General features: G+C 38.0%; 1 long non-coding RNA gene and 1 pseudogene across 1 annotated transcript; one reads left to right on the forward strand and one right to left on the reverse strand.

Moving 5' to 3' along the window:
- Positions 1-950: 950 nt before the first annotated feature.
- LOC124900806 (uncharacterized) lies at positions 951-2,660 on the reverse strand. The gene is made up of 2 exons (XR_007058355.1): positions 2,491-2,660; positions 951-1,118 (listed from the first exon to the last, which is right to left on the reverse strand). It is a non-coding gene; the product is annotated as an uncharacterized LOC124900806 (long non-coding RNA).
- LOC646995 (tripartite motif-containing protein 38-like) lies at positions 4,537-5,926 on the forward strand (annotated as a pseudogene).

Here is a 9,814-nt window from a genome sequence, read left to right on the forward strand (position 1 = left end):
CCTCCCAGGTTCAAGTGATTCTCCTGCCGCAGCCTCCCGAGTAGCTGGGACTACAGGCGCCTGCCACCACGCCCAGCTAATTTTTGTATTTTTAGTAGAGACGGGGTTTCACCAAGTTCACCAGGCTGGTCTCCATCTCTTGACCTTGTGATACACCCGCCTCAGCCTCCCAAAGTGCTGGGATTACAGGCGTAAGCCACCGCGCCAGTGTCTTGTGTCTTTTTCTTTCTTTTTTTTCTTTTTCTTTTTTTTGAGTCTCACTCTGTTGCCCAGGCTGGAGTGCAGTGGCATGATCTCGGTTCACTGCAACCTTGCCTCCTGGATTCAAGCGATTCTTCTGCCTCAGCCTCCTGAGCAGCTGGATTACAGGCATGCACCACCAAGCCCAGATAATTTTTGTATTTTTAGTACAGACCAGGTTTCACCATATTGGCCAGGCTGGTCTCAAACTCCTGACCTTGTGATCCACCCACCTCAGCCTCCCAAAGTGCTGGGATTACAGGCGTGAGCCACCGTGCCCAGCCACTTTTTTTCTGATACACCAAAAAGTTGCTTCTGTCAACCTATGACTTGTAATCCTTATGTAAGATGATAGTCAGATTCATGACAATAAACAGCCATGTGTAATTCATTGTGTTACGGATGTAAAGAAATAGTTGGAAGGACATTGTAATTTTTACTTATACAGAGTACACTTTTTTGAGCTCCCATTAGAGAAATTTCTCTGAAATTTCAGAATCAGAAAATATTGGGTCTCCATTTAGTAAGTGATTTGTTTTTACAGATACCACAAATCCTACAATTTTTCCTGTTTCTGTCTTGGCTTTGGTTTCTTGGAATCTTACCATCTTACTGTTTGTCCCTTCTAGCCATTGCTTTGCATACATTTTAGCATAAATTTCCACGTGCCGACCTTCTGACTTTTTCTGTCTTGGCACTGTCACATTGTCACAATTTCTAGATTTATTTTCCACACACACATATACACACCAATGCTTTGGAGGCGAGGTATACACACATATGCAGATAGGTATGCCTGAGGATTTCATTGGATTTCCACAGTTGTTCCTGCTTTGCTGATGAAGACTCTGAGGACTGATTCATTTAGCCAAGGTCACCTGGCTTGTAAAAATAGCTAGGGTTAGAACAGATTCTAGCTTTTCTTAAAACAATCACACTACCTCTTTCTGTAGCTACTTTCAAAGGAAGCATCAAAAGAAGCCCCTTAACTCATTAATACGAGTAAGGAGCCTTCTCCATCATGAAATGCACACTAGTGTCTCAACAGACTTAAAGTTCTCTAAGTTACCAAAACTTGAAGAACGGGAAATGCCAACATTTTGCAGGTTTTACTATGATTGCATCTATTCAGCATTAGAAAAATCCTAAATTTCATATTTATTTTATAATTATGTAAATAATGACACAAGAATTCTTTTAAAAGTTCCTTGATAATTTTAATTCTCCAGAAACATAGTTGTTGAAAGTAAGTTCCTTTCATGATACCAGTCCTGTTCCATATCAACTTATGACTTGCTCTCTGGCTGATTGAAATACAGGGTCTAAGACATGCTTTAGCAGCAAAAAATGTAAAGGAGGAAATGTATAGTTTCCTTTTATTTAGAATGAATATTTGCTTAAGGTAGATAACATTTCTTTTCCAATTACATTTTTCCTTAACATGTACTAGCATACTTACTGAAAAGATATTTTTCTTATACTATAACCTGTTAAGCATATAAATAATTTGTTGTCAACAATATTAAAACTCTTCTCTGTTGGTAGCAACACATGGGAAAAAGAGAAGGGTGAAGCACTCTGAAATCAAATTAGCAAAGAGAAGGAAAGTGAGCTCACTGCAGAAGACCATGTGGTAGCCTTTCTACTGCTGCACTGGTAGATGGTCTCATATCTTTCCTACAATGGCAATACATGATGGTTTTTTCCTGGAGCTCTTAGGCAACATTCATTGAACGGATAGTTCAATTTTCAAAAAATAAAGATGTATTTTTTGATGGAGTTTGGGCCATTTCAAACCTTCACAAGGAATTTGTAATTTTTTTGTTTTCTTTTCTTTTTTTTTGAGATGGAGTCTCACTCTGTTGTGCCCAGGCTGGAGTGCAGTGGCATGATCTCAGATCACTGCACCCTCCACCTCCCGGGTTCAAGCGAATGAACCCGGAAGGTGCCTTAGCCTCCCAAATAGCTAGGATTACACTCACGTGCCACCACACCCAGCTAATTTTTATATTTTTAGTAGACACAGGGTTTCATCACATTGGCCAGGCTGGTCTTGAACCCCCGACATCAGGTGATCCACCCACCTCGGCCTCCCAAAGTGCTGGGATTACAGGCGTGAGCCACCACGCCCAACCAGTTATTCATAATTCTTATCACAGAATCCAAATGGCTCAGTTTGAATTCTGAATATGGCACAGGGGTGGGAATGGTTTACAAACCAGAGGCCATATATTGAGTTTAGATACCCACTGAAAAATTAGTGTTCGAGGAGTCAGCAAAATATATCAAAGTCTGACACTATTGGGTTACTCTGTTGAAATCGTTCCATGAAGTTTAAAGACCAGTTTCCAGAAGGTCAGTTGGGGTTGTCCAGCACATAACATTTTCCGTATTTGCATTACTTTGGCTTTGTCACTTGAATATTGGCATGGGAGCCTGTGCTTTGTGGTTTGAGAGTTTTTTAGTTGCTTATTTCTCAACTTAAGCAATAATCCTCTTTTGCTGACAGCTTTTTAGTTACTGTAGAAATGATTGTGTTGTCATAAACACAGCTTTAGGATTTCAGGTGGGAGGGGGAGAATCAGAGGGTGTTCAACAAAAAGCTCATGTTTCCACCCAAACACACCCACCTAAGTACTTGCAGAAGGCTCAGGGAAAACAGAAGCAGAATTCTTTTCCCTGTTCCACTTTTCAAAGTTCATTATGTGGAATCAGATGCTTTTAAAACATTTCAAAAGAGGCTTCCATTTAACCTCCAAAAATAAACAAACCACAATTCTGCTCCCCATTTCTCCCTCAATTTAATCATTTGTTCCAGTTTTCCTACCTTTGAAATCAGATGATTCAGCTCCTCTTTCTGCCTTAACAGTTTGGAATAATTCGAATTTCAGAAGCTAATGCTTGATTCTTCTGCTCTCCTTATTTTTATATTGTAATAGTCTTCATCTGTTTTCTATCACTTAATTTCTGATTTGGATCTCTTTCCTTTAATTTTCCATGAGGACTATTCTCTCTTTTGTCTGTTTTCTCTTTTTTATAATTCTCACTCTCCATTCATGCTCCAAGAAAATGGACCTTTTCTGCCATGATTTCGCACTCCTTTTTAAACTTTCCTCACCCATGTTCCACTTTCTGCTTTTAAGTCAGTAATAAGATATTATTTGAAGCGTGGCTCAGATCTCATATTTTAAAAGAATTTCTCTACCTATAATGGCTTCTAGCAGACTCTACCTCAGCTATGTCCCTAACTGCTTCTCTGACAGAACTTCGCGTGGCTTCCTTCCTCTTCTGTCTGGTTTTTATGGTTTCCCAATACAGTATTGACAAAAGAGAATGGGCTTTGGGTCCACACCTGTATGGATTTAAGTCTCAGCTCTGTCACAGCTGCATGATCATGTGCAGATTACTTTGCATCTGGATTTCCTTACCTGCAAAATAGCAGTAATTTTACACAATATTTTAGAAATGATTAAAAGAGAGCATTAGAGCATAGACTGTGAGTCATATTGAGTGTTCAGTGTTATACAATTTTTTTTTAGTCTTCAGATAATTTTGGCATTGTTTTGCTGCTAGAGAGATTGCCAAAAGATCAGAGTGGTGTGTAGTACATGAACAGTTTCCAAGAGAAAAGCCTTATATTGCATGGTCTCTTCTTTGTCTTTTTTCCACCTATCAGGCACACATCTATTTGTTTTTTTTTTTTGGCATTAAAATTATGAAATATTCAAACATAAAGTATAACAATTAAAACAATATATGTCTATGATCATCCACACATAGCTTGAACAATTCTTAGCATTCTGTCATAATCATATCAGTTGTTCATGTTAAAGAAATAAACTATTTTAGATTTGGTTAAAACCTTCTGTGTCTCTTCCCTAATGTCATTTATCTGTCTCCCTTTCCAGAGATGTAACCTTGCTGAATTCGCTCTTGATCATTCCTATTTATATATTTTTACTTTTACTCTACATGTGTATTTCTATATAAAACATAAGACTTTATTCTGCATATTTTAAACTACATATATGTAATATACTGAATGTATTTTACAACTTGCCATTTTGTTTAACATTTTTTGTTGGATTTATCACATGTGCCATATCATGTTGTTTTGTTTTGTGCATTTCTATTGCAGCATAGTATGCCATTGTATGAATGTGTTGCAGTAATAGTGCAGTTGGAAGACCAAGTGGAGTGGATGATTCTAGTCTAACCCAAGGACAAAATCTGATTCAACTCAGTAATGAACTAAACACAGCAGCTTGCTTCAGTGATACCTTGGGATACCAGGCACAGCTCCACCTGTTCTGTGAAGACAAGGGGCAGCTCATCTGCTGGCACTGTGAGCGGGCACCGCAGCACAAAGGGCACACCACAGCTCTTGTTGAAGACGTATGCCAGGGCTACAAGGAAAAGCTCCAGAAAGCTGTGACAAAATTGAGGCAACTTGAAGAGGAGTGCACAGAGCAGAAGGTGTTCACAGCAATGCACATAACTAAATGGACAATAAGTACAGAGTTTATTTCGGCCAAGTTTGAGGACTGCAACTCAAAAGCAAAGATTTAAGTTGCCCAGATTATACACTCTCACTGCATGAATTTAGACAGCAATAATGGAAATTGCAATTTTATATCTCCTCATGAGAAGACACAAATTCAGAGACAAAAAAATCGTTTGACTTTAAGAATCTCCAGAGTTTCCTACATGAGGAGAAGAAGTCTTATCCCTGGAGACAGGAGAAGGAAGAACGATAGACTCTGAATAGACTGAGGGACCATGGGACCAGTCTGGGGCTGAATTCAAGAGCCACATGCTGGAACTGGAGGAAAAATGTCGGGGCTCAGCCCAAAAATTGCTGCAGAATGTGAATGATACTGTGGGCAGGAGTTGGACTGTGAAGCTGGAAACATCAGAGGCCTTCTCCTTAGAGCTTCATACTATGTGCAACATTTTTGAGCTTTATTTCCTGTAATGTGAAGAAAATGTTAAGGAGCCATCAAGAGATGGGGTTTTGTCATGTTGCCCAGGCTGGTTTCAAACTCTCGCACTCAAGTGATCCACCTGCCTTAGCCTCCTACAGTACCGGGATTACAGTCAACATGACTCTGGATCCAGATACAGCTCATAGTGAACTAATTCTGTATGAGGATTGGAGAAAAGTGACTTGTGGATATCCCCAGGACCATCACAGCACTTCTTCCAGGAGATTTAGTGCCTTCCCCTGTGTCCTGGGTTGTGAGGGCTTCACCTCTCAGGAAGATGCTCCTTCAAAATGGATGCTGGAAAACGAACCAGGTGGGATTTAGGAGTTTGTATGGCAATATGCAGAGGTGCACTGACATGAAGCAAGAGCCTCAGTCTGGATTCTGGAACCTCGGACTATGCCAAAAGAAAGGCTATGTAGCCCTTACATCTCCCTTAACTTCCCTTCATATGTGTGAGCAGCCCTTGGTTGTGGGAGTGTTTCTGGACTCTGAGGCTGGAGTTGTATCCTTTTACAACATGAGTACTGGCTACCACATCTTCACCTTCCCAAAGGCTTCCTTCTCTGATACTATCCGGCCCTATTTCCAGGTTTATCAATATTCTCCTTTGTTCCTGCCTCCCCCAGATGGTTAAGGAAAAGAGCAAAGTCTCATTGGTTTAACCATCACAGAGAATATAATGTAAATCCCATAAGGGCCAATATATATATATTGCATGCAAAATAGCCTGTATCTGGCTTTTTAGAATATGACTGATAAATGGCTCTTGTAAGTTTTTCATTAAACAATTTAAAGATGAATCCACCAAAGTTCACTACTTAAAGGAAATGTATAAATGTGATTTTCTAGATCAACTTCTTGTTTTCTCTCTTGATTTGCAATAGATTAAGAGTAAATAATGTTATAATTTTATGTTGTTTCATAGGTTCAACAACCTTTCATATATCTTTATTGGGCAAGTAGTAAGTTGAAAGTAAATGTTTGTTGAAATTAAATTTGACTCATACAATAACTCTAGGAGGTAAGAGATATTATCTCTGCTTTCTATGGTATTATATTCAAAGTAGGCAAAGTTAGTTATAAATGCATAAAAGCCTCAGTTTCATCTTTTAGTTAGATTCTAAGGATGTAGATACAGCAGTTGAACAACTGGGAAAACTGTGAAAACACCTTCAGTAGAAGAGTCTGTCCTATTTAGACATTAGAATTGGATTTAAAGAGACCCTGGGATATGATTGATTGTCATTATGTTGAAAGGAATACTCAGCATTTTGCTCCAAGAGCTTTTTTTTTCCCCCTGTAAGATTTGGACCAAACATAAGTTACTTTCTCAGGGAATTCATGGGGAATGCTTTGAAGAGTTTCATCTCTTTAGTGTAAAACATTATTTAACAAGAATTTGGCTTTGATCAATACTCTTTTGAATAAGGATAGGGTATTACCCCAGTTCGTTTTTTTCTTTTATCAGTCCTTCTATTAAATTAGAAATTACATTGGAAATCTCATTTTCTTGGGGAGGGGATCCTTGGAAAATGTCGAAGTGAGATTTAACTGTGTATTGTTTAGTTATTCATTTTAAGAGTGGTTTATGAAAGATTTGTTAAAGTTTTTTCATTTTTCCTATTATAAGTGGTAATAAGAGAAAACCTTGGTAGTCATAGTTATGGCCACAATTATAGTGACACAATTAGACTGGCTGACATTTACTTGATAATTTAATTCAATTATTGCCTTTTTAAACATATGTGTGATAGCTGCTAAGTATGGCTATAGAAAGTATGGCTATAATTTTTGCTTGGGGTGATAAACAATTTATGTAGCAACAAAAAAGTTATAATTGTAGAAATCTTACTGATCCTTGGACCAGGAAAAGGGATTGTATTTTACGTGAGCGCTACCCAAATTATCTTGTCACATAGAATTGTGTTTTATAAATAAAATGCCCTTGTTAGTTATTTGTTGAAAGAAAGAGAAGGGAGGAAGGAAGGGAGGGAGGAAGGGCAGGAGGAAGACAGGAAGGAAGGAAGGAAGGAAGGAAGGAAGAAAAATATCTTCTCAAATTTCAAATTGGGTAATAATAATACTGTAATATAATGATTGAAAATACACGCTGGCCAGGTGTGGTGGCTCACATCTATAATCTCGGCACTTTGGGAGGCCTAGGCGGGTGGATCACTTGAGGTCAGGAGTGCATGACCAGCCTCACTAACATGGTGAAACCCTGTCTCTATTAAACAATACAAAAATTAGCCAGGCGTGTTGGCTCATGCCTGTAATCCCAGCTACTAGGGAGGCTGAGGCAGGAGAATCACTTGAACCTGGCAGGCGGAGGTTGCAGTAAGTCGAGATCACACCACTGCATTCTGGCCTGGGCAAAAGAGTGAGACTCCATCTCAAAAAAAAAAAAAAAAAAAAAAAGAAAAGAAAAAAAGAAAGAAAATACAAGCTTAATTCTTACTGTATTCCAGATGTAGTGCTCAGTGTTCTACCTATACAGGACTAGAATTCCTCATCCATGATTCTAAAATTCAAGAAATGTTTGTTTTAAGCTCAATTAGCAGCAAGACCAGACATGACCTGAACTCACTTGGTAGCAAAAACTATCCTTAATGGACATAATATGGTGATGTACTGTATTATCTCTCTAAAAGAGAAATAACTTCACATTCTGAGACACTTCTGTCTATGTGAGTTTGTAGCTGTGTACTAACTCATTTAGCCTTTGCGAGGACCTTATGAGGTTGGCACTATTATTATGTCCATTTTACAGAGAAACAATTGAAACAGAGAGGTTAGGAAAGAAATATTTACCAATAATGACTGTTTTAAAGTCTGCAATCCTCTGGTTAGAAAATTCCTTGAAAAAAAAATTTTTAAGAAAGTTTCGATATATCACCAGTCTTCAAGTCATCTTTCAGATTCACCAGAGGGAAAAGGGGATTGCCATGACTACTTACATGTTAAAACTTCTGGGATTTATTATAATATTTCTGCTACTATTTCTAGAAAGTTCCAAATGTATTATGATAAAAAAGTAGAAATATGTTTTTTTGGGTGGTTCTTACTGCCAAAGTGTAATTATTCCCTCCCATATGGAGCTCCAAAACATAGTAAAAGGGAGCATTTTACTGACATCTGGCTTTATTTTTGCTTGTTACATCTTCCAGACCCCACCCTTGGTTACTTCACATAATATACATTACACATATCTTACTATACTGTGAGAAGGTTCAGAAAAATTGCTGTGACAACTAATTAGTATTTACTTAGCGGATAGTACAACATTAGCATTTACTTAATTCAAGAGTAGTCTTGTTTAATTTAAGGCTACACATCCTATAATTATTATGGGCTTTTAAATTTAGGTACTTATTGAAATTTAAGTTTAAATTGCAATGTAGTCATGTTTTCACATCAATTTTAAATATCTTTCTGCATGTAATGAATATCATATTTAACAGTTTTACCCAGGTTTTTTTTTTTCAGATTTTAAAGTTAGTGGTTAAATAAACATAATCCAGTAATTTATTTCCAATAAACTCTTAGGATTTGTTGCATGATTTGGTGGTCTATGTGCACTGATAGGTTTCATAGATGATGGCAGAGCCCTCGTGACTACATTGAAGAGAAACTGTCAACACAAACTTATGCTTGTAGTATGGTCCTTGTCAAAGTTGTTGCCTTTGGCATTTTTGCTAATCATTAATGCAAAAGGATCTTGTTTTTGCCTTCAGAGGAGATCAGTGCAAAGTTAATGCAGAACATCTTACCGACTGTGGGAGCAGAGGGTGGTTTTAAACTACTGCAGGGGAAGAAGCCAGTTGCCTAGTTGAAGGGTAACACTGTTTACAATGCATGTGGTTGCTGTTGTGATAAGCCTCCAAAGAATGTGGGGAGGAAGGATAATGCAGGCCAACTCTGATTGCTTTTGGAATGTGGCAATTTGTCCTTGGTTATCATTGGTGTTTAACATGATTTGATAGAATCGCTTTAGATCTATCTGAAAACTGCCAGTGATCTGAGAAAACCCTATAGCCTACCACAGTTGGTTAGCCCACCCTTTCAGTGTAGACTCCTACTCACTTCCTCCCTGCCTGTCTACACTCATTCTGTCAAATTCACATTGTCACATGTTCATGTTCACATACCTTTAAGGAATGTGAATCTTTATCTTTCTCCTCTTTATCTCTCTCTCTGTCATGAGTGCATGATAGAGACAGACATACAGGCACACACAAACATACACACACACACACACAGACACACACTCTTAGCTTTTCTTCCGAGGCATCCAAGATTCTTCTCTAGTTAGATGACACTTCTTGTATGTTTGTGAAGAACCATAGTCCTATAAAAATATTCTAATTAAATTATTTTTTCAAGGGCCTAACTTGATGAAGAACATAAGGCTATCAAGAAACCATTATCTCCGCCTATAAGTGAGAGTTGAAATCTTACAGCATGTGTTAAAACCTATGATGAAACTACACGTGAATGACAAGCTTCTTGTGTGGTAAGAGATTATTAATTTAGAAATATCTTGATTAATCAAGGATGGTCAATGAGATTTTTTCAGTCAAGAAATC

Source organism: Homo sapiens, chromosome 4, assembly GCF_000001405.40.
Source record: "Homo sapiens chromosome 4, GRCh38.p14 Primary Assembly".
Lineage (NCBI taxonomy): Eukaryota > Metazoa > Chordata > Mammalia > Primates > Hominidae > Homo > Homo sapiens.